This window comes from Homo sapiens, chromosome 9, assembly GCF_000001405.40.
Source record: "Homo sapiens chromosome 9, GRCh38.p14 Primary Assembly".
Taxonomy (NCBI): domain Eukaryota; kingdom Metazoa; phylum Chordata; class Mammalia; order Primates; family Hominidae; genus Homo; species Homo sapiens.
Window position 1 is genome coordinate 83,435,588 of NC_000009.12, and position 25,413 is coordinate 83,461,000.

The 25,413-nt window shown below is 42.4% G+C and overlaps 1 protein-coding gene and 1 non-coding gene across 9 annotated transcripts in view; one reads left to right on the top strand and one right to left on the bottom strand.

Moving 5' to 3' along the window:
• FRMD3 (FERM domain containing 3) overlaps window positions 1-25,413 on the bottom strand; it is a 342,803-nt gene that overhangs the window by 192,596 nt on the left and 124,794 nt on the right. Inside the window, exon 1 of one of the 8 annotated variants that reach the window (XM_047423154.1) lies at window positions 524-824. The exons of the other annotated variants lie outside the window; for them this stretch is intronic. The gene's annotated coding sequence lies outside the window, so the exon portion shown is untranslated. Of the gene's footprint in view, window positions 1-523; window positions 825-25,413 lie in introns of those variants that run through there. 8 annotated transcript variants of the gene reach the window in all.
• On the top strand, window positions 16,686-16,788 carry LOC124902346 (small nucleolar RNA U13). Its single transcript, XR_007061922.1, has one exon. It is a non-coding gene; the product is annotated as a small nucleolar RNA U13 (small nucleolar RNA).

The following is a 25,413-nucleotide window of genomic DNA, read 5'->3' on the forward strand; positions in this document are numbered from 1 at the left end:
CTTGGCATGAATTATTTTAACCTGGATAGCTTAACAAGAAGCCATGTTGATTGTAATGAAAGAACCTTTTGTTTTGTTCCAGTTTTATTTGGGTTTGAGGGGCAAGGGGCGTTAGAATTAAGACAAATCCATTTTGGTGATTTGAGAATGACTTTGTTTAAAATTGAGATGTTTTTAGGGGCTTGTTTCAAATGGAGATTCCCTAACCCATCCCCAGATTCTGATTCAGTAAATATGAGGTGGAAACCAAGAATATACCTTTTTCTATCAACCCTCTGCCCTAGTGACTTTAACATGGTCCTAAGACCACAATAGAGAGAAATTGGATCAGGATATGCCACCCAAAAATCCCCAGAACCTTAATTTGGCTTGAGACAAAAGTTAAATCCCCACAAACTAATTATTTAAAAAAGAGAACCCAGAATATGCACATGTTCAGGAATCAGAGGCAGGAAAATCATGGTGCATCAAAGCCTCCCTAGCAGCCCCACACAACACTGATTCTCTCTACCCACAGTCCTACCTTCACTCTTAACTCCAGCTCACCCTGTCCTCATCCCGGCAATCCCTCTCCTGAGATTCTGATCTTGGACTCTGACTTTGCAGCATCCACCTTGAGATAAAGCAGCTCCAAAAGAAAGAAATGTCCGTGGAAATCCATTAAAACCACTTGTTGTTCTCTCACACTAAGGGTCAAATCATAGCTCCTGAAACATAATTAAATAAAGTCATTGACACATAAAACTGTCTGCACGACAGGCTTTACAAAGGGCTCAAAGGGCTTTGCTATTTTTAGCTTTTTACTAAATAAGAATCTAGTGTGTCCAAATTAATCACACATTTTTCCTTTGCCAAATTTTAATTAATAAGATGTGTGTGTGTGTGTGTGTGTGTGTGTGTGTGTCTGCATGCACAAGAGATCAACTAGCAAAGAAAATCTTGCTTCAGGAAGCAATAAAGAGATCATTTGAAATATTGCAATTCAAAAAAAAATGTTGCTTATAAACTTAAACATAAAAGAGTCATTTCTTATATTGAAACCAGTTACTTCACTGGATTCATTTAACACTCTGTCCTGGACCTAGACAAAAATACAATTTTGCTTTTAAATTATGCCATCCCAAAAATAACCATTCCATTTAAAGATATACATTTTTACTCTGTGGCTGAAGTTTTCCAACCTGGACCAAGGGGAAAAAAAAAAAAAAAAAAAACAAGACAGCTAGACAGGAAAAGAATACCAATCCAGATGATTTACCTAGGAGCCATATCCCTGAAAACAGTCACAGCATACCCCCTGGAAAGAAAGAGGTGAGAGCAAAATGGAGGCAGTGCCCAAGCTACAGATGCCCCTGAAATATATAACCCTTCAGAGTAAACATCAGCCAAGACAACAGAAAACTGTTCAGATGTTGACCACAGCAACCTCATCTGCAATGGTTCCACCATGTAAAATCCAAAATTTGGAAATAAGGCAAAAAGACGATGAGGTGCTCTTCCAAGGTGACACGGAGTCTTGTCTATCAAAGTCACATAAGGGTCACCTGATGCTTTAGGGAGGCAAACTCGGCTTGACTTAATATTTGCTAATCTTAAAGGTCTAGACTGTAAAATTAGATGCTAACTTGTAAAAGATTGGTAAGTTGCAAATAATTTCTGTCCTATAGAGGAGGCAACTCAACATTTATGGTTTTATCACCTTATGTCCATTATATACCTCAGCTGTGTCTCAGCAAATTTTATCTCAGCATTGTTTAGTTTCTTTGACTATATAGACTTACCATAAACCAGCTTTGCCATCCTGCTAGTTCCCTCATTGATGAGTTAAATAAATTTTTGACTCGTGCTCATTCTATATTTGTATGAGAGTCATACTTTTAATTTATTGAAAATTACACCTTGAGATTTTCTTTATCGTTTAGTCCACCTATCTCCCTGTCTTGCTCTGAAGTCTGAGCTTTAAAATTAGTTCCAAAATATCACGAAGCCTAGGAAGGTTCCATTTGGCTCATATAGTTGTCATTAATCCATCATTACTGACCACAATCACAGTGCTTCTTCCTCCAACCAATACCAAGCAGATTCCACCATTCTGACCCAGCTGAGATTGAGCCTATAAACCAGGCACACAGACGTGGGTCTTCCATGGAAGTAGAACAAAATACAAAGAAAAGAGAGACGGGACACATGTGCACCTTCCTGATCCTAGTACTTGATTTCTCTTTTGCTCCAGGACATAAAGTTTGTATGAGACTTGTCATATTAGAAGAACATGCGCGTCACTGGCAGTGACAGTGCAAAGCTAAGTGAGCGAAGCAGGGGGATCCTCAAGAGCACAAAAGAGAGTGCAGGATAAAAAGAGAGAAGGGGGCATGTGAGGGCACGTGCGGGAAACACACTCAGTTTTGCAGAATCAGCCTCCCCTCCCACACACCGGCTGTTTTGGTGCTATAAGCAGACTCCCAGGGAGGCTGGAAGTGCCAGTAAAAGGCTAAAAATTTCTGCTAAATTACTATTAAGCATACCAAGAAAGGATCTAACTCAAGGAAATACCTTATTGGATTTTCCCCAAAAAAAGAAAAGAAAATGTATTTTCTGAAGCAAGCCACAAAAATATGGGGTAGTGAAGTGAATATAACATTACTCCAAAGAAACAGAACCCAGAAATTCCAGCTTTTAAATTGCTGAAATAAACACTAACTATTTGGAGAAAATCATACTTGTGACTTACGGATGATGTCCTAAATAGGTCTCGACACGGTATTTAGGGAGAGTCACAAACTCTTTCTTTCTACCCACTCTACCTGTCTCAGAAGAGAGTTTTTTTTTTGTTTTGTTTTGTTTTGTTTTGAGATGGAGTCTTACTCTCTCGCCCAGGCTGGAGTGCAATGGCACAATCTTGGCTCACCACAAGCCATTTTCTTGCCTCAGCCTCCCGAGTAGCTGGGATTACAGGTGCCTGTCACCATGCCCAGCTAATTTTTGTATTTTTAGTAGAGACAGGGTTTCACCATATTGGCCAGGCTGTTCTCGAACTCCTAACCTCAGGTGATCCACCCGCCTCTGCCTCCCAAAGTGCTGAGATTACAGGCGTGAGCCACCGCATCCAGCAAAGAGAATATTTTCTCCACACAGATGTACGATCAGATCTGACCCAGGGCAGAGCCCCTAAATTAGGCCAAACAACCTCGCTGGGTGCAATAGGTAGAAATAGTCTTCCCTGCTGTGTGTGTTCTGTGCGTCCTACAGCTGAGAGGGCCATGAGAAGTTGTTCCCACCTCTGTGCTGCACCTCAGCATAGCCTTCCTCCCACAAAACAAATGGCTGCCGTAGGTCTCTCTCCAGAGAAAGAAAACCCTTCTGGAGGAAGGAAGGAGAGGCCTGAAAACCCTCACCTCTTTTGCAGGAGCTGCACCTCCATACCCATGTGAAGTTCCTTTAAAAAGGCATCTGTGAGGGGACACTGCTCACCTGGACATGCCTATTCTGAGTCCCAGAGTCTTGACACTCATCACCAAATGGGGGCCACACCCAGCCCAGGAAACTACATATAATAATTTATCTTTCGCTTAACACTTGATGAACATGGTTAAATATTGTTTGGGCCATGAAAGCCATAAAACATTTAATGTCCATAAATGGATAGGGTCCATACAGGCTCCAGAGAGAGTTAGGACATTGGTTTCTAATTCTTCATCCTTGAGGACATGGTAACAACCCATGACCAATGGCCAAGGGAAGCTCCCTATAATGACTGAGTCTGGAGCCTTTTCTCTCAGTTACCACATGGAACATTTCTTCTTCACAACTGGTTTGCTCTGAGGAGCCTACTGATGGCTTGCAATGGGCCAGGGAAAGCATTCAGTCTTCACTGGTTACAGCCAACTGGATGGTTACAGAACTCCAAAGCACCTATCCTCCTAATGTGACCCTTCTATGTCCGCCATCTTTCTTGTAGTTGGCTTCTTTATGCAGCAGCAGCACATTGCTGAGTGGAGAGGAAAGACGAAACCCCATTTTAGCAGAAATTCTCACTTTCTATTTGGCAGGCAGTTGAAAATGGGTTCTCTGTTTGCAGAAACATCCTGAACACATCATTAGATACATATTATGATTATTTTATTAGTAGATACAGACAAGATCACAAAGAGCTATGTGCCTTGCCCAAAGTGTTTAAACTTTCCCTGTGGGCAATGACAAGCCATCAGAAGATATTTAGCCAGTGAGTGACAGTAAGTTAGCAGTAAGCAGTAAGTAAACAAAGATAATGCTAGCAGTTATAAAATAAAATAAGGAGAAACTGGTAGAAAGACTAGATATAATACTAATCTATATTAAATATATTTCATTATATTCAGGAATTTTTCAAGCAGGGAACTGCTTTCCAAGATCCATCTCAAGGTCTCAAAACACACACTTCCAGCTTGGTGGCACTACCTCCCTGACAATAGCCATTACAAAAACCAGAAGAAGTCTTGGGCATCAGTAAGTTTGTTGGTGCAGACTGCTGCCCAAGAGGATTCTCTGGTTTCTACCAGCAGAGGAAACCAGACCCAATTTCTTTGTAGCCAGTGGTCCTATGCCTGGGTCATTTCTAAGGTCAGAAGAGCACTTCACCTATACTCTAATTCTGAAATCCAAGTCATGTTCAAGGCACTTATTGGACCAAACTGTCATTTAGATTAATAGAACACAAAGCTCCCCTTGTAAATACAAATGTAATCAATACATCAGTGATCAGTGTAATAGTCATGTGGTAGTCCCTATAATCCAATGTCCAAAGAGAGTAATGGTCCAGTTTCTGACTGGTCCAGTGGATCCCTAATTCTTCTTCTGTCACTTCTGGGCTCTGGACTGTCCATATCATATCCCTAAAGACATGACTCAATAGATCAGCTCCCAGCTGGACCACTCCCACAGGGCCATCAGCAATTGTCACCCCCAGCCTCCAGGGCAATATACAACACTGCATAAAAAATGATCACAGGACGAGGGGCAACATTACTATCCAATTCTTCATTTGTTCAGTTGGGGAAGAAAGGGAACACCTACGCTATCAAAGGCAGTGTAACAGAGAGGGAAGCACACTCATTTAGTTAGCAGACAGACTGGATTCCAATCTGAGCCTTGTGTTTCCATGGGCAATTTGCCTGACCTCTCTGAATCCGTTTTCTTATCTATCAGATAGGAATAGGGGCCTGTGCCTTGCATAATTGAGGTAAAGATTACAGATGGTATATGTGAGGCATGTAACGCAGAGTCTGACGCCAGGAGGTGTGGGGGCCATTAGGGCTGCATTCTGGTTCTCCTCTCCTTCAGGCACAGGACGGAATTGTGCTTTCCAGCTCCATTTGCAGTAGGTCTTGGCCATGAGACTTGTTTCGGCCAATGAAGCTTAAAGAGCCAGTGAGAGACTCACCACACACCCTTCCCTCTACTGTGGTGGTCATGGTAGCATGCAAGATAAAGCCTCCATCATTCAGGGTCACTGTGTGACCACGATCAGAAGAATGCCCCAACAGACCCTCATGGAACATTACAGCCCGAACAAGAAAATCAATGTTCTATGCGGCTACTGAGCTGTGAGGGGTTCTGGTCACTGCAGCATCACCTATCCCCTGCTGACCGAGAGACTAAGTACCCAGTGAAGTCTAGATAATGTGAATTTTGTTTTTGTTATTTCAAAATATCACCTTTGAAAAGAACGTGGGAATGCCTGAGAAGTCAGATTCCGACTGAACGGATCCCAAGGTTGATCCCAAGGCAATTCACCAGTCGAGGATCCTGACACATTAGTTATTTAGACTTAAAAGGAGAAAAAATAAATAATCTCAGCTCCTGGATCTAAATGATGCCTCCATGAATTAAGGATTTAAAAAGTCACATTGAGCCAAGTAGATAAATACACAAAAGAGTCTCTACAGATTAAAAGCTCAAGGGCACTGGACCCCAGCCAGAATGATCATAATCCAAGAATCCAGGTCAACAGTCCTGGAAAATTACTCTTAAGTATTTCCAGCATTTAAAACTCCTCAATGGACTAGAAAACATCTGTTTCCTAATCTAGTGGAAAAAAGCCTCATTGCTAAATAGTAGGCAGCACCCCCAAGCATGAAATTCATTGCCATTTTCCTGGGCAAAAACAAACACACACATTAACCCTCCCTCGGTTGTTATCTGCGGACGCCACCAGCTTTAGATGCCATGACAGAAAGGGAGGTATGTTTTCTTCCTGCCTTTACATACAAACAGAGAACAGAATCCTTTGCTTTCCTTGAAACTGCCAAAAAAAGGCCAGTATGAACTCCAAAGCACCAGCATCCATTTCTTTACAGACATTTTAGGCAGAAAATGAAATATGTCGGACTACTGAATAAATATAATCTGTTTCCTTTGGCATTGACCTAGTACAGCATAAAGAACGTGCGCACTAAAGCCCGACACATCTTTCAAATTGATAGAATTCAAATCCTGTCTTTACCACTTATCAGCCGAGTGATCTTAGATGCGTCACCCTCTCTGAGACTCAGTTTGCTCAGATTTGGAATAACACTGACAATAACAGCTACCACTGGTGAGAGTCTACTAGTGCCAGATGTAAGAGCTTTGTGTACATTCAATCTTTAAGTCCTTACAAAAACCACATAAAGGGTGGTTTATACAGATCTTTTTTTTTTTTTTTTTTTTTGAGACAGAGTCTTGTTCTGTTGCCCAGGCTGGAGTGCAGTGGTGCGATCTCAGCTCACTGCAGCCTCCACCTCCTGGGTTCAAGCAATTCTCCTGCCTCAGCCTCCCAAGTAACTGGGACTACAGGTGTACACCAGCACACCTGGCTAATTTTTGTATTTTTAGTAGAGACGGGGTTTCACCATGTTGGCCAGGCTGGTCTCCAACTCCTGACCTCAAGTGATCCACCCACCTCGGCCTCCCAAAGTGCTGGGATTACACATGGAACTTACACAGGAGAAAAATAAGGTTCTAAACTAATAGGGAGGAAAGCCAACGTATAAAATTGGATCTGTCTGACTCCTGAGCCTGAGCACTGAATCCTCAGTGGAGGGGGGGTACATTCCCCCTCCACGACCACCCCACCCCCAACCCCAGACCACCTCTTGGGGTAATAGTAATCACAGCGTGCAGGGTGAAACAGCAGCACAGTCCCTCACACAGAGTCCACATACATCCTGTGTGAGTTACCTCCCTTTCATCTCCCCTCTCCTCCCCATCTCATTCTGTTCCTTTCACATTTCCACATTTTTCCAAATGCTTTGATATTCCTTCTAAACCAAAAGTCTTCAGTAGTCATAAAAAGACTTCTGCAACATGTCTTATGTTCATACTAATCTATACTTATGTCTTATGTTCATACTAAACTTTTCATTAATCTATGGAGATATGAATGTCAACATAAAAATACATATGGCCTTAGATGTGTATGTATAGATATAAATATAGAAATAGTGGAAGGAAATGTTAGCAATGAATATCACTGTATGGGGAATCATAAATGATTCTTATTATCTTTCACTTTTTTTGTATTGCATCTGGTGAGAGTATGTTTCTTTTTTTATTATACTTTAAGTTCTATACATGTGCACAATGTGCAGGTTTGTTACATATGCATACATGTGCCATGTTGGTTTGCAGCACCCATTAACTTGTCATTTACATTAGGTATTTCTCCTAATGCTATCCCTCCCCTACGCCCCCACTCCACAACAGGCCCCAGTATGTGATGTACCCCGCCCTGTATCGAAGTGTTCTCATTGTTCAATTCCCACCTATGAGTGAGAACATGCGGTGTTTGGTTTTCCATCCTTGCGATAGTTTGCTCAGAATGATGGTTTCCAGCTTCACCCATGTCGCTACAAAGGACATGAACTCATCCTTTTTTATGGCTGCATAGCATTCCATGGTGCATATGTGCCATATTTTCTTAATCCAGTCTGTCATTGATGGACATTTGGGTTGGTTCCAAGTCTTTGCTATTGTGAATAGTGCCGCAATAAACATACATGTGCATGTGTCTTTATAGTAGCATGATTTATAATCCTTTGGGTATATACCCAGTAATGGGATCGCTGGGTCAGATGGTATTTCTAGTTCCAGATCCTCGAGGAATCGCCACACTGTCCCCCACAATTGTTGAAGCAGTCTACACTCCCACCAACAGTGTAAAAGCGCTCCTATTTCTCCACATCCTCTCCAGCACCTGTTGTTTCCTGACTTTTTAATGATCGCCATTCCAACTGGTGTGAGATGGCATCTCATTGTGGTGAGAGTATGTTTCTTTGGCAAGCAGGAAACACTAGATATTTTTCAAAATCATGGAAGGAGACCACTGTGCTCTTTTTAATTTTTTTCAATATTTGCATGTATTGCTTCCAGAATAAACAAGGGTCATTCAGTCACTACAATTATATTTCTTTTATTTTTGCTTCCTTTTTAACATGTTCAAATGTTACAATTAATGCACAGAAAAAACATCTACTTCACACTTAGTGCTGGTGATGTTCCTTCAACATTGTGAACAGGCAACTGTAGCCACAGTGGGCCTGTGATGACAAGCATGACTCCAGCACAAGACAGGGAGACCCAGAAGCAGGGCCATTAGACCTGTTCACATGGGAGATGCGGGCTAGACCTGGGCTCAGAGCCAGGCCCAGCCAAGCTCCTCCTGACCAGCCAATGACCTCCCTGACCCCGCCCTTTCCCAAAGTGGCCATTTTTACACATAAAACCAAGCTTAGGTCTGGCTTGGTTCCCACATCCCTAGTAATGGCTGGTGATTATCTCAGACAGTCGGGGCTGCCCAGATTGCCTTGGAAAATTCATGCCAGGAATAAGCTAAGTCTCCTCCTCTTCAAATCTTTCCAGGCAAAATAGAAAGCATGTGTGCTATCTTCGGAGTTTCCTTCAAATTTCATGTTTCCTTTGGCTCTGCAGAAGTGAAGTTAGTTCTCCCTGTCCCAAAACAGGACGAAAATGGCCACAGAATGCTGTGTACTTGAATCACATTGACCCAAAGTGATCACCTACCAGGCTACCACTAACATCAGGTTCTAGAGGTCCTATGCCCTCAGCTTTAAGCAAGAACCTGAAAAGCAACAACAGGCTAAAAATTTGCTTCTGCCTTTGCTGTAAGATGCTCTTGAGGGTGCTGTTGTTTCCATCACCTATTTTCTTGTGCAGCCCCAAGTTGGAGTTAAGACTGAGAAATCCTTGTCTTCCACGGGAACTGATGGATTTTCTCTCTCATGGATAAATTACATTTCCCTTTTCAAGTTGCTTCCAGGAAGTTCAAAGCCAAATGCATGATCCTGCAACAACTATGCCAAGTCATACAGCCTCAATACCTGTGGTTGGCTCTTTCCCGTAGTCTCAACATTTCATTTACTTTATATTTACCCTTATTCTTACTTTATACTATTTCTTAAGACTTTACTCGGCACCACCTATTAGCCAACTCAAATCCTGTGTAAAATCTATTAGATATAAATTAATAAGGCTGAGCACAGTGGCTCACGCCTGTAATCCCAATGCTTTGGGAGGCCAAAGAGGTCAGATCACTTGAAGTCAGGAGTTCAAGACTAGCCTAGCCAACATGGTGAAACCCCGTCTCTACTAAAAATACAAAAATTAGCTGGGTGTGGTGGCAGGTGCTTGAACCCAGGAGGCGGAGGTTGCAGTGAGCCGAGATCACACCACTGCACTCCAGCCTGGGTGACAGAGCTAGACCCTATCTCAAAAATAAATAGATAGATAGATAGATAGATAGATAGATAGATAGATAGACAGATAGATAAGATACTGCTGGCTGACAGCAGCCACACCAGAGGCATGCCATCCAGAAGATATGCTCCAAAGGGCACCGGAAGGGGCCTCTCTTTTTCCCACCACACTCTAGTCTCAGCTGCATGACAGCTCACATTTTAAATTCATTCATCTAGCAAAACTGGCTTTCTCCTATTCTTAGGAGTAAAGCAAATATACTTAGGAAGGATGCCTCCTTATTTATCCTTGCAAATAAGTTTATTATGATCTTGTTTAATCATACATAGCTAAGCACAGGTGTGGATTTAGGAAAATAGACACTAAGAGAAAGGACAATTGAGTTTGATGAAAGATTTAAGGAATGTTTGAGGATTAGGAATGTTTGCACTTTGAGGAATTGCTTTTCTGAGACAAGCAAGCTTGTAAGTGAAAAGGCTACTTGATATAAGAAAAGGGGTGAGAACAGAATTCACTCTACCTACTTCACAATTTGGAATAAACACCCAAACCAAAGCCTAAGAGTCTGTGGTGAGGGTTTGCTGTGTATAGTAGCCAGCACTTCACAGCATTTCAGAGTTCACAAGGAGCTCTCTTCAGATATTATCTCATTTAATCTTCAGAATGACCCTGTATGTTTCTGTTATTCTCCTTACTCCATAAATATGAGAACTGTGGCTCAGAGAGGTTAGTCACTTGTCCCAAGAGTACACAACTATTCAGTGGCAGAGGGAAGACAAAAACACAGATCCCTTCCATTAGAACATGGTCACTAGGGCCAATCTGAGCCGTATCCATATCGTGTGTATGCAGCACAACAGCAAGAAAGAACAGCCGGGCCAGCCCCCGGCCTCGAGCTTGCCGGGAGATGAAGTGTGTGAGATCTGATTCCAGCAGCCCTTCTGCCAGAGCCCAGCGGCCTTCATACCACACAGTCTGCCTTTGGGTAACCCTAACAGGTCTCCAAACAAAACTATAACTGACACTCGAAAATGAAAACCTCTGTTGGCCGGGCGCGGTGGCTCACGCATGTAATCCCAGCACTTTCGGAGGCCGAGGCGGGCGGATCACAAGGTCAGGAAATCAAGACCATCCTGGCTAACACGGTGAAACCCCGTCTCTACTAAAAATACAAAAAATTAGCCGGGCGCGGTGGCGGGCGCCTGTAGTCCCAGCTACTCGGGAGGCTGAGGCAGGAGAATGGCGTGAAACGGGGAGGCAGAGCTTGCAGTGAGCCGAGATCGCGCCACTGCACTCCAGCCTGGGCGACAGAGCAAGACTCGGTCTCAAAAAAAAAAAAAAAAAAAAAGGAAACCTCTGTCTGCTGCGACGTCCACACGGAAGAAAAGATGAGATTTGCCAAGTAGAAAAGAAAAGATTTGCCAAGTAGGAAAGTCTTTTTCTTGTACTTTACACCAATTGTTCTTCCTTTACTCTGCATATATGAAAGTGTTTCTGGGGCACTTGAGTATGGGGTGCTAAATTTACGGATTCTAAATGTTCTAATTTATTTATAATCGAGTATATGTGAAATGAGAAGAAAATGCAACTCTCAACAACAAATTACACCTTCCTCCCACACCACTCATCAACCTCAAAGCCCTCCTCCTCACAGACAGCAGATCAGGGTTTTTGTTTTGTTTTGTTTTGTTTTGTTTTGTTTTGTTTTGTTTTGTTTTGTTTGAGACAGAGTCTTGCCTTGTCACCCAGGCTGGGCTGCAGTGGCGCCATCTCGGCTCACTGCAAGCTCTGCCTCCCTGGTTCAAGCGATTCTCCTGCCTCAGCCTCCCGAGTAGCTGGGATTACAGGCATGCGCCACCACGCACAGCTAATTTTTTGTATTTTTAGTAGAGACAGGGTTTCATCATGTTGGCTAGGCTGGTCTCACACTCCTGACCTTGTGATCTGCCCACCTCGGCCTCCCAAAGTGCTGGGATTACAGGCGTGAGCCACCGCGCCCGGCCAGATCAGGGTTTCTAAGTCCCCATGTTTGAGGAGCTCCTGCAATGACAGCAGGGAAACTGCCCTCCCATCCAGTGTGGCCCTGTTGGGGACAGGGGCCCTAGCCAGCACCAACCAGAGATAAATCCAAACCTCGATGAGACACAATAGGCAATCAGACCTTTCAGAGGAGCCAGGCTGGATGCGGGCCAGCCGTAGGCCCGAGGCACTGTGATGGCTCAGGTGAGTTCTGTCATGGGGGCAGTGAGGGGACCTGCAGTCAGAATTGGCAGCGACCCGGCCACCGATGACAGCCTGAAGCACAGGAGGTCAAGGGTCAGCCCAGAGCAGGCAGACAGGCCCAGGGAGGGCACTTGTTACCATCGGCAATGGAGGAGACCAGAGAGGGCACAGAGGCCAGAAAATCCAGCAATAGATTTTCCAGCACAGGGTAGGAGCTCCTGAACTAAAAGACAGAAGTCAGGATGTCAAATCCTAACACCACCATGTTCTGGCCGAGTCACCTCAAATAAAATATTTGTCCTCATTGTGCCCAAGTTTCTTAATTTAAAAAATAAGAGTAAGAGACCCAGTTCACAGGATTGCTGTGAGAATTAAATGAGATATTATTTATTAAAATGCCAATGCATTATCTGGCACATAACAGGTGCTCCATAAATGTGTCTTTTTCTCTTAAGACTCTACTGGAAGTCACAAGTGCTCCATGCCCCAAACTAAATAAAATGCCAGATGTAGATCTGTTTTGCTTCTCTTCTTTTCTTTGTTAGTTTGAGTACCTAAAGTTGGTGCTTCAGTGTATGAGAGTCCAATTTCAACATTACTTCCCCTGCTGCATCCTTCATGCCTTTCTAATCTTCCTATAGGCATTCTTAAATACACTTCTCTAAGAAACAGTATATTACCTACTTCAAAATATTATAATATTTGATGAGGGGCATACCCACCTCTGCCACAGTCCCCACCGCTCCCTATTGTCTCACTCCTGGCCCTATCTAAATAGAGGTGAAGAGCAACAGCACATATGGCCCATCCCAACCCTATCATGGCATCATACAGCTATGATTCCATGAGGACTACCCCACTGCTGAGGTTGAATATAGTTCCGTGGCAGCAGAGCCTAACCCAGCAGAGCAGCGGTAAGGCCTCAGGTGGCACCGGGCAAGTGGTAGCCTTGGCAAGGTAGGGAGGGAAAATAGAGGTGCATTTGCAGTCTTCCAGGGGTGGCCAATACAGGTAGCAAGTCAGCACCAGCTCGGTTTCCAAAGCTCCACTGTATCTCAGAAGAGAAACAATTACTCAGGAAAATCAAGGCCTCTGAGCCACTCTCCATTCCCCTCCCTAAGACCACAGAGCGGGAAAAAAAAATGCTTGAAAGCAGATCTGATTTTCAAGCTTCCACTCTGCTTTCGCTAAGATGATTTAAGCTAGCCAAACCTTCAAAGCCTCTAGCCTCCACAAATTTCACGTTACCTTGGCAGCAGTGGGGAGAGCAGTGACCAACAGTTACCTCTTCGAATGCTTTTCAGCTTTATTGTTACGGTTGGAAGAAGTCAAGTCAGAGCATACCTAGACAGCAACCTCATTGCAAATTCCCAGGCCTCCTTCAGCCTGTGGCCTTGCTCAGCTCTCTGTGATGTAGCAAAATGGGCCTTGGGGGTCTTATCTGTATGAAACATGCTGTGTTTGAGAGTGGACAGCTTGCTGAGCCATTGCAGAGGGCAAGGAGATCAGGAAGCAAAACAGCATTCACGGAGGGGATGTCCTAGGGGTCTCACTGGAGGCTCTCAGGGGCCAGGGATGATATTCAAAATATTTAACAACAAAGGAAGGCAAGAGAGGACCACCAAATCAAAATGATTGCCCCACCAGTCTGGACTCCGGTATGTCGCACCAACAGCCCATGGAGAAAGTAATGTTATTATCCACATTTTACAATTTTGAAAACCTAACACAGAACTCACGAACAGCTCTACGAGCTTCCATCTGGTCTGCTGAGAGGCCTGCCCACTGCCTCCGGGAAGACAGAATGAGGCCAGTGAACAGCTGTAAAATATCTTTTAGAAGAAGGACATCTGGTCTGGTCCTGGGATCACATAAGCTTCCTGGTTGAACTCTGAGGTCATGGGGTTTATTGTATTTACATGAAGAGCCATATTTTCACCAGAATCATAATGCCATCAAATTGGAGGACAGGACTTCAGAAATCACAGTGAGGTTTCTGCAGGCTAGTGACAGAGCTGGGTCCAGAACCCAGGCCTCTGGCTCCCACTCTGAGAACCTTCAGGCCACAGATGCACCCCTGCTCAGGCCCTTCTGATGTCTGTGGCATTGCACAGTTTGCCAAGCTCAGCTTTGCCAGAGGTGAAAACAGATGCAGAGGTATCTCAGCTCTAGACTCATGTTTGTTGATTGGACATTATAACCAAGTGATGGACTTGATCTCAGAAGCTCCTATGAAGATTCAGGAATTGAAAGTTGGACTGAGGGTAAGGAAGGGCAGTATGTTAAGATTGGAAACTCATGTATTTTCAAAATGATCAAATTGAGGCACTGTACCCTGTAATGTATGGAAATACTCTCATGTTGATCCAGCTGTTCGATTAAGAGAGTGCACTTGAAGCACTTAACTGGGTGCATTTCATGCCTCAATAACTTTTTTTTTAAAAAGGCAAAGCCATAATCTGTTTATTCTTCACATTGAATGCCCCTCTAAAAAGCCTAAGCTGAAATTTAAAGATATTTACAGAAGCACCCATAAAGAAAAATAACCAAGCCTGCGCCACCCAACTGACAGTTTTTTAAAGCTTAAGCAAGAAAATTAGACGGCAAAGCCTGGAATGCCTGCCCCACCTCCAGGAGCACAGGCATGTGTGTGTGTGCACCCGTGCGCGCACACACACACACACACAGACACACACACACACATGCAGTTCCAGCTTCTCAGACACAGCCGCATGCACACAAGCCTCTTTCCTGGATATATTGTGACAGCCACTAAGTTAATGAGATCCCAACTGTCACCCTCAGTTTTTTTTTTTTTTTTTTTTTTTATTATACTCTAAGTTTTAGGGTACATGTGCACATTGTGCAGGTTAGTTACATATGTATACATGTGCCATGCTGGTGTGCTGCACCCACTAATGTGTCATCTAGCATTAGGTATATCTCCCACCCTCAGTTTTTACATCTGTTTTTAGTGTTTTCATTCCAAGACTGTTGCCCAAAAGGCAGTGAAAGGCAAAATGCATATTATCAGCCTTCTTCCTCCTCCTCTTTGGAATAGCAGAGTCCCCACGTGGCAGCCTGGAACAAAGACCCTCAGCTCCCTGGAAAGGGAAGGCTCTGACTCCAGGAAGATGGCAGGGCTGGAGTCTCCATGCCACTCGCACCAGGTATTGATGGGCAACCACAAAGGCTGGGCAGGGAAAACAAAACCATTAAACTCTCTAGAAAAATACCGTGCTGCAAGCCAAGTGCCAGAGTAGCAGCGGGGACACCGAGGGCCTGCACTCACGGAGTAACTCAAAGTCGGAGCAGTGTGAGAAACACACTATTCCAAATTGGAGGAAGGGTGAGCTTTCTGAATGGATAAAATGTAGGAAATGAGGCTTTAATGAATGTCCGTTTAATAAGTCCCCAAATGTGAAGTATGTATAGGTGCTCTGAGGCATCAGCAATCCACTGCAAAATTACCTTCAACCCGAGAGCAACGAACACGAGTTCCCTAAATCACGAGCAATTTGTTTTTATGACAAAAACAAAATACACCTTTTTTTAGCCAAGTCAGTGGAATTTTTCATAAAGAGTTTTTCATAAAGAGTTTTTAAACACTGAAGGGAAATATGCTACTTCAGTGATTATGCTGAGGTGCGGGATTAAGCGAGGTTAGATTGTATTTTCCATACTACACATGTACTTATTAGAAAAGGTAGCTTTTAATTTCTTTTCAGAGCAATAGATATCAGTGCTGGGAGCAGGTAAATTTAAAAAAAGAAGAAGAGCAATAGATAGAAATGTTAAACTGCCCCACTCCACACACACACACACACAAGCACACAAATACATACATCACACACACACACACACACACACACACACACGGAAGTACTGACTAGTCCCTCCCATTCCGTCTTTATTTTAATGGGCAGCAATGATTACCTACCCAGGCGATTGTCTGCAAAACACTGTTCAGGTGACACTGCCACACTGCAGTTTAGCCTGGGGCCAAATAGCCTGACAGGGATGCTGGCATGAATTTTTCACAGAATACCCGTGGCTAGCTTGTTACAGGATGTGCTGTGACATCAGGCTGAAGGTATGACCAGGCAAGAAAGTGAAGTGGGAGCTGTCAGGGGAGAGGTGAGAAGAGTGTTATCCCCTCACTCACCCAAAATGAGCTGGCCAGAGGACCAGTCCCAGCCAAGAGCACTCAAATCAGAACTTGGTCGCTTCTCTGCCTCTCACCTTAATAGATAAAACTGCTTATGAATTATTAACAACTATTAATAATCTAACAATTTAACAATTTATAACTATTATAACTAATAACTATTTAATAATTTAATAGTTCATAATAGACATTTGTAAATTATTCATAACTGTCAAGGATCCCCAGTAGATACTTGGTGGTTTGTGAGTTTAAGAGGAAGAACTAATTCCATTTCCTATATAAACCCCAAGTCCCAGGACTTGATTCCTCTTAACAAGATGTCAACAGAGGGAGACTGGCAGGCTATCAATCCTTGCCCCCTTTTCTGGGCTCTTAGAACTTTCCAGCAGCCATGCTGATGGGGGAACAAATAACTGTGGCCTTCCCCCAACAGTTCTCTTCTAGCTAACTCAATCTTTGATGCGGTAGACGCTCCGTATGTACACACTATTGATATCCTCCTGTGTGATATGGGAGCTGTCAAAATCTGGAACCAAATCTATACTCAGAATGAGTTGGCCCGATCTCTTTGTAGTTCACAAGCATGGTGATTGGGTGCTCAAGCCCATGTGTGAGGTGTGCCTCCCTCAAACCTTGTTACAACGTAGGCACAGCATCACCTGACGTAAAAAAGAAAAAAAATTAGTTGGTCTAATTTCAAATCCTCCTGGTTTATGTTCAGTAATTAAATTACTCATCCCCGTATGAACTAATGCTTGAGTTGTTTTTTTTGTTGTTGTTGTTTTTTTTGAGACGGAGTCTCGCTCCGTCGCCCAGGCTGGAGTGCAGTGGTGCGATCTCGGCTCACTGCAAGCACCGCCTCCCGGGTTCACGCCATTCTCCTGCCTCAGCCTCCCAAGCAGCTGGGACTACAGGCGCCCACCACCGCACCCAGCTAATTTTTTTGTATTTTTAGTAGAGACGGGGTTTCACCGTGTTAGCCAGGATGGTCTCCATCTCCTGACCTCATGATCCGCCCGTCTCGGCCTCCCAAAGTGCTAGGATTACAGGCGTGAGCCACCACGCCCGGCCTACTTCTTAGATCTTTTAACCAGAGCTTAAGAATACTTGTGAAAGAATTATCCAAATTTTTATTGCCTTTTTTTTTTTTTTTTTTTTTTTTGAGACAGAGTCTCGCCCTGTCACCCAGGCTGGAGTGCAGTGGTGCAATCTCGGCTCACTGCAGCCTCCGCCTCTCAGGTTCAAGCGATTCTCTTGCCTCAGCCTCTTGAGTAGCTGGGATTACAGTCATGCACCACCACACCTGGTAAATTTTTGTATTGTTTAGTAGACACGGGGTTTCGCCATGTTGGTCAGGCTGGTCTCAAACTCCTGGCCTCAAGTGATCTGCCTGCCTCAACCTCCCAAAGTGCTGGGATTACAGGCGTAAGCCACTGCACCTGGCCTAAAATTTTATTACCTTAAATCTCAGATCTTAATTTGAGTTCTCAAAATTAAGTCCATCAAAAGGGCTGAAACACTCATTCAAAAAACTAACTTCACACAGTGCAAGATATACATTTGTTATATTAGTTTATAAGGTTCTCAAGTGCAAGACTATGTCTACGCTTTATTATATCTCCTCAAAAGCATACTGACAAACAGATGCTCAGAATCATTAAAAAAAATCTAACATAGAAATTTATGGATAAGTTCTAACTCTGCCCTGTCCAATAGGGTAGCCACTATCACATATGATGGAATAGTTTGGATACGGGATATGTTAACCTACTTTTTCAACTGTAAATTTTGTAAAATCTAGATACAGATAAAGTATTTCTAATGAAAATTTAGCATCCTACTGAAGATATAAAGTATGCACAGAATTTCAAAGACTTAGTCCAGATAAAAAGAATATAAAATCTCATTCATAATTTTTTAACATTGGTTATGTATTAAAATGAAAATTTTTTAGATTGGGTTAATTCAAATTAATTTCCACCTGTTTCCTGTTTGTTTTAATTTTTTTTTTTTTTTTTTTTTTGAGATGGAGTCTCACTTTGTCACACAGGCTAGAGTGCAGTGGCATGATCTTGGCTCACTGCAAGCTCTGCCTCCCAGGTTCACGCCATTCTCTTGCCTCAGCCTCCCAAGTAGCTGGGACTACAGGCGTCTGCCACCACGCCTGGCTAATTTTTTGTATTTTTAGTAGAGACGGGGTTTTGCCGTGTTAGCCAGGATGGTCTCGATCTCCTGACCTCGTGATCCATCTGCCTCGGCCTACTAAAGTGCTGGGATTACAGGTGTGAGCCACCGCGCCCAGCTCTTTTAATGTCTTAATGTAGCTACAAGAAAATATTAAATTATGTATGTGGCTTATGTTATAATTTTATTCAACAGCACTGCTCTAGCTTGCTAAATATGGTGGGGTAACTAACAATAATAGCATGTTATTCATTTATTGTCATTACATATTAGTACATCTTTTGTAGCTATTGTAGGATTACAATGTTAATTATTTTCCCACACTCCTTTCATTCTATGTCTAAATATTAAACAAATATAGAAACCAAATGGCTGATGGCTATCCTAAGAAACAAAGGTGATTTATTCTACCACTGCCAGTGGGCAGCAGTAAATGCCAGTCATTCCAATCACTCCCATACAACCTGGCTCTTGGCTGGGCACAGATACATGAAAGGCAGCAACAGCAATGCTAAGGGGAATCAAGAGTTACACCCACATTTGCCATCTTAACCAAATATATTCACAAAGGGGGCCATTGAGTGTGACGTATGAAGACAAAATACCAGCCTTACTGAGAGCCATGAAAAGGCCTTTTGCAAACGATGTATTCTGGAGTACAGGTAGCATCTGAATTTTATTATAGACCCAATCACATCTCTATATTTCATGTTTATTTCTGGTTGTTGAGAAATTCCCAAGTTCTTTTTTCTTACCCACCAGAAAGGTTGTAGACATCATCAGGTATGTCCCCTTCTTCTCCTGGGGTCCCATTATACAAGATGGCACACTGGAACATCACACAACCCACCAGCCACCACTTCAGTAGCTTGCAGGGCTTTTATGCCTGTCTATTCATCTTTGCAAACATTTTTTAAGGCCCACCCTCTGTCAGGCTCTGTTTTAGGTACTAGTGTAATGTGACAGAGAACAAGGAAAATACAGATCATTGATGCCTATATTGTTTCTGCATCTTTTTATCATGCCACCATACTCAGGCTTAGGCATCACAGTAAGATCCTGTCTCAAAAAAAAATTAATAAAAACAATACAAGCTAAGAGATATAAGAAGCCTAAAGAAAGAAATACCGAGTTTGTTAAAAGAACTCTGCCTATATCTGACAAGTTAGTAACACTTACTTTTTAATTATGCAATGTTTGAAATATGCAAGAAGATATAAAGAAAAATGTAACAAACAATCATGTACCCATCCCTCTTGAATTCCATATCCTATTTCTTCCCACCTTGACCCCACTGAATTAATGTGTATTAGGTCTGTGCACTTCTTTATACTTTTACTACATAGCCACATATCCCTAAGCAATATGTGGCTTGACATGTTTTTAAATTGTATATTGATATGGTTTGGCTGTGTCCCCTCCCAAATCTCAACTTGAATTGTATCTCCCAGAATTCCCACATGTTGTGGGAGGTACCCAGGGGGAGGTAATTGAATCATGGGGGCTGGTCTTTCCCGTGCCATTCTCATGATAGTGAATTAAGTCTCACGTGCTCTGATGGGCTTATCAGGGGTTGCCACTTTTGCTTCTTCCTCATTTTTTCTCTTGCCACTGCCATGTAAGAAGTGCCTTTTGCCTCCCGCAATGATTCTGAGGCCTCCCCAGCCATGTGGAACTATAAGCCCAATTAAACCTCTTTTTCTTCCCAGTCTTGGATATGTCTTTATCAGCAGCATGAAAACAGACTAATATATATATACATCAGTGTGTTTTAAATAGGTGTTTTTAAAAACTTACCTAATGTTGTGATAAGCAACTACCTCTGACTATATCAGAAACCTCAACAATTTACCAAGTTTGCTGATAAAAATATATTTTTCTTTTACTCACCACCCAACTGACATATAAAGGATATAAATTTAAATATTGCATAGATTATATATGTGCATGTAGACAGCAGATAGAGTTCACAGCTAGAATAATAAAAAAGAAGTTCAGTGTGTTCCATAATCATTAAAAATATTGAAGGAGGAACTTGGAAATCACTTGTATACATGGGGGCATTTTTCTAAAATAAACTTTAAATTAGAATTTTTGAATGCTGCAAAATATACAAAAAGGTTTACCATGGAAAGTAAGCCTCCTCCTGCCCTCACCCACAAGCCACCCAGTAGTAACCTGCCCATAGGTAACCAATGTAACTTCTTATGTATATATCCAGAAATATTCCACATAGACAAGCAACCATGAATATATTAATATTTTGTCCTCTTTTTAATATAAATGGTAGCATCTTGCTATTTTCATTTGATAGTATAGTTTATAGACCTTTTTATATTGATGCATATGAGCTGCCTTGTTCTTTTTAATGGCCGCATCCATTGTATAGGTGTGCCATGCTTGATTTAGCCTATTTCGTTTATGGAGAGGTTGTTTTCAAATCATTTGAAACAAACAGTGCTGCTGTGAAGCCTCCCTGTATACATTTCACAATGTTCAAGAATATCCACAACACAAAACCTAGAAATGGAACTGTTGAGTCAGAGAGAGAGAGGTAGATAGAAATAACATATTTTGGTAGCTATTACAAAAGTGTAATAGAAGTTACACAATTTAACTCCCACCAGACATTTATAAAAGCATCTTTTTCCCCACTGCTTTTGCCAATGTAATGCACCATGTATTATGTTCATCAAACTACATGGTAAATGGTATCTCAAGGAGGTTTTAATTTATGAATTTGTTTTAAATGCTTAACAAATTCTGAATTTTAAAAGGAATAAGTGTAACTTAAAACAATACAGGCCGGGCACAGTGGCTCACACCTGTAATCCCAGCACTTTGGGAGGCCAAGGTGGGCAGATAGCCTGAGCTCAGAAGTTTGAGACCAACCTGGGCAAAATGGCAAGACCCTGTCTCTACAAAAAATACAAAAATTAGCTGGGCATGGTGGCATATACCTGTAGTCCCAGCTACTCGAGAGGCTGAGGTGGGAGGATTGCTTGGACCCAGAAGGTCGAGGCTGCAGTGGGCTGTGATCATGCCACCACACTCCAGCCTGGGCATCACAGTAAGATCCTGTCTCAAAAAAAAATTAATAAAAACAACGCAAACTAAGAGATATAATAAGCTTAAAGAATGAAACACCGAGTTTGTTAAAAGGAAGGTGCTATAAAACTCAAGGCATGACACTATACCATAAAGAGGTTTATTAGCTTCATCTGGGCAATAAAGACAAATATCTACTTACAATATTGCCCAACCTCTTATATAAACTAATTCAGATTGTTGACACGCATACACACTTTATAAAAACTCAGGACGTGTTCTCACATACAGAGAGAACCATCCAGCACTGGTCTGAAGTTCAACTACTCAGAAATATCAACACTATAGATGAGTGGCTGATTTAGGCTGTATAGCATTCCTGGACTTAACTGGTGAAAAAGATGAAGAAAGGAAGATGAAGGGCAAATTAAGGGTAAAAGAAAGTGGTTCTTCTCAATGTCACACACACCCTCATTGACCCCATGATTGTCCTGTCCTTCACATCAACAGTGGGGGTGGATCCTGTGGATACCAAGATCCATGACTGTTCATGTACCTGACATAGGATGGCATAGTATTTTCATATAATTTGTGGACATCCTCACACAGACTTTAAAACATCTCTAGATTCCTTATAGTGCTTAATATAATGTAAATGCTATGTAAATAGTTGTTATACAGCATTGTTTAGGAAATAATGACAAGGAAAAAAGTCTGTACTGTTCACCACAAAGGCAATTTTTTTCTGAGTATTTTTTATCCGTGGTTGGTTGGCTCCACAGATGCAGAACCCATGGGTATGGAGGGCTAACTGTATTCTTGAAATTTCCTAAGACCTGATCTTGAGTGTTCTCACCACAAAAAATTGTAACTATGTGAGATGATGAGTATGTTATCTTTATTGTGGTAATCACTTCACCATGTATACATATATCAAAACATCACATTGTACACTTCAAACATATATAATTGTTATTCCTCAAGTATACCTCAATAAAGCTGAAAAAGTAAATAAAATAAGTAACCATGAAAAAAATAAAATGAGCATATTACCTCTCAAAAAAAAAAAAAAAAAAAAAACAGGAGCTGGGTCACCTAGATTCTGAAACAGGGCTTGGCTCAAGTGAATCCTGTCAAGTTGCTTGAGCCCCTTGGCCACTGGCTCCTTGTCTATTAAAATGAAAAGATTGAAGTGGATTTTTAAGGTCCTTCCCAGATGAAAGACACCACTGGAACTACTGATTAATAGATGATAAGTGGCTTTTCCAAGAATGAAAATGGACAGGGGCTTCGCTCACCTTCATTCTAACATGCATTTGCTGGACACAAAGCTATAGCTGGACACAAGGTCAGTAACCACTGAAGCCAAAGAACAGAGATTTCTACAAGCATTAAGTAAAGGTACTGTAACCCCAGGATCTGGCCAAAGAGTCCATTGACAGGCATATCTGTTGGATCACATACCATGACTGAGAGGGATGAGACAAAACAATCTGAAATCTGGTATCAATAAGGCCGATGAGGATTAAAATCAGTGGGACAAGAAATTTACTCAGCTCAAGACCCTTGCAATGGTACTGGGTATTGCATGTCTAATTACACCTACCATAAAGCCGAAGAGAAAACCTCCACTAAATGAGCTTCCTTCCACATCATCAGCTACAAAGCCTGTGACAGGCGGACTGGTCCTAAGGATGCCCTGCAGAGGTGTACATCCACAGAAATGAAAAGCAAGGAGATTCAGAAAACAAGAAGAGTACATCTACAAACTCAAAAGCCAGCAAAATGCAAGTCATCAGAAAATATCCAAATCAAGATACAGGCATAATGGTCATTTTTATCAAATACAGAAATTCCATCAGCCAAAAAACAGACACTAAATGAAAAAAGGGACTTGGTGCAGAAAAAAAATTAAAGAAACAAAACTGAAGACCTAAAATAAGAAGGTAGTCAGTTGGCCAAGCACCATTTTCTACTTATGAATTAATTACTCATTTGCTTAATACATGTTTATTATTCTAGACATTTTGTTATACTCAGCTACCTTTCTGCCACCTGTTCATCAAGTTATTTTATTGTTCATTAATTGGACCCACCCAATAGAGTAAACAGAGAGAAAAATTAAAACTCCTGGAAGTTGATCTTACTCATGTAAGTAACAACAGTAAAAGGCTGTGTGACATCATGCAAGAGGCAGGAAGAGGAAAAACTGAAATTGAGTCTTGTAGAGAATCAATAGATTCCATTTGTCCATCACTTAAGAGCCTGTGTGGCTGTTAACTCCACTGACACTCCCTAGAACTCTGGCCATTTGACCTGGCCTTAACGTCCCACCAAGCATCTGGCTTGTTCACTTCCAACTTCCTAGCCCGGCCTCCTGAATTCTGACTCCCCACCTGGAGCAGGTATCCACAAGCAGACACATCTGCTACCATGACTCACATGCTCTCAGCCTCACCCCTAATTTCAGCCATGTCTGGGTGGACCATTGTGTGGAGGTTTCAGCTCACTTCAAGATGATAATATCTTACATGTACCTCGCAGCCTCGGTTCTCCCCAGGGGCGTCCCCAAGACCACAGAGGCTACTGAGAGATGCCTAGGCCTGTGCACATGCACAGTTCACAAGTGCAGGAGAATGAACACTCTCAGGGCCCACACTCAACCAACAGGGGAGAGAAACTGATGGCAAACGCTGCCCTGGCCTCCTGGCCTCAGGGCTGACAATTCTGAAGCCTCCTCAGAAGTCAGCTGGGTTGAACTGCCATGGCCCACAGCAGTGACCTCAACCATGCATCCGTCTTAGTCGGCTCAGGCTGCCATAACAAAATATGACAGACTGGGTGGCTCAAACAGCAGAAATTTACTTTCTCACAGTTCTGGAGACTAGGAGTCCAGGGTCAAGGAGCCAGTAGGATGGGGGCCTGGCCAGGGCCCTCGGTTGTCTTGCAGACAGCTGCCTTCTCACTCTGTCCTCACATAGCCTTGCCTCAGTGCATGCGCACTGGAGAAGAGAAAGAGGACAAGCTCTCTGGTGTCTCTTCTTATGCGGACATTAATTCCATCGGGCAGGGCCCCACCCTCAGGACCTCATTTAACCTTAATTACTTCCTTAGAGGCTCCACATTGAGGAGTTATGACTCAACATATCAGTTTGCTGGGGACACAAACATCTAGTCCATAACAGCATCCTTACTCCTTCCCTGCCTCAGTTCTACTCTTTCCCTGCCTCAGTATCCCCACTCCCTCACTCTTGCTTCCTGGAATCACCTCCCAAATAAATCACCTGCACATAAGGCTTCTTCTTGGGCCCTGCTTTCAAGATCCCAGCTAAAACAGCACATCTCCTGACATGGTACTCTGATGCCACCTGGCCAGATGTTCTCTGCCAATCTAATACTAATCCCTCTCCCCAAGCTCATCTTCTGTTCTCAACCCTCTCCCAATTTAACCCACCTATCATCTATACTTTAAGTTCACCATCAAGTTATTCAACACATACATTCACTGGGTTCCTATTACAAGCCCAGATCCTAGTGCAAATGCCCATAGGTCCCAAGCAGTTAATGTGTCGGGGGTACAGGGCCAAGCGGAGCAAGATCCCTTGTGTCCTGTGTCCAGTTCCATAATTTTCATTTAAAAATGGGAACTTTTTATTTTCATTGAATAAGGGATCCGTTTTCATTTTGTCTCATTTTAACTTAACTTTGTTTTATAATGATGTAAAACATGTACATGGTTTCAAAGTCAAATATACCAAAAAGGTACATTCAGAAAAGACTAATTTCCATCCTTTCCATCTGTTTTTCCCTTGCCCTTCATGGGTAACTTTATTAGATTTTTTTGTTTATTCTTCCACTTAAAAATATATAAGCAAAGTATCCCAATTTTTAAATGTTAGTAACTAATTTAAATCTATTTATTATACAATACAGATCACACCATCATCTTAGAGCTTCTAGTTTGACACATCTGTACACATTTCTGAGGAGGCAGCAGGAAAAAAAAAAACAGCCCCTGAGCTCTTGGAGTGTAGAGGTGGGGACAGCCAGGGTGAGAG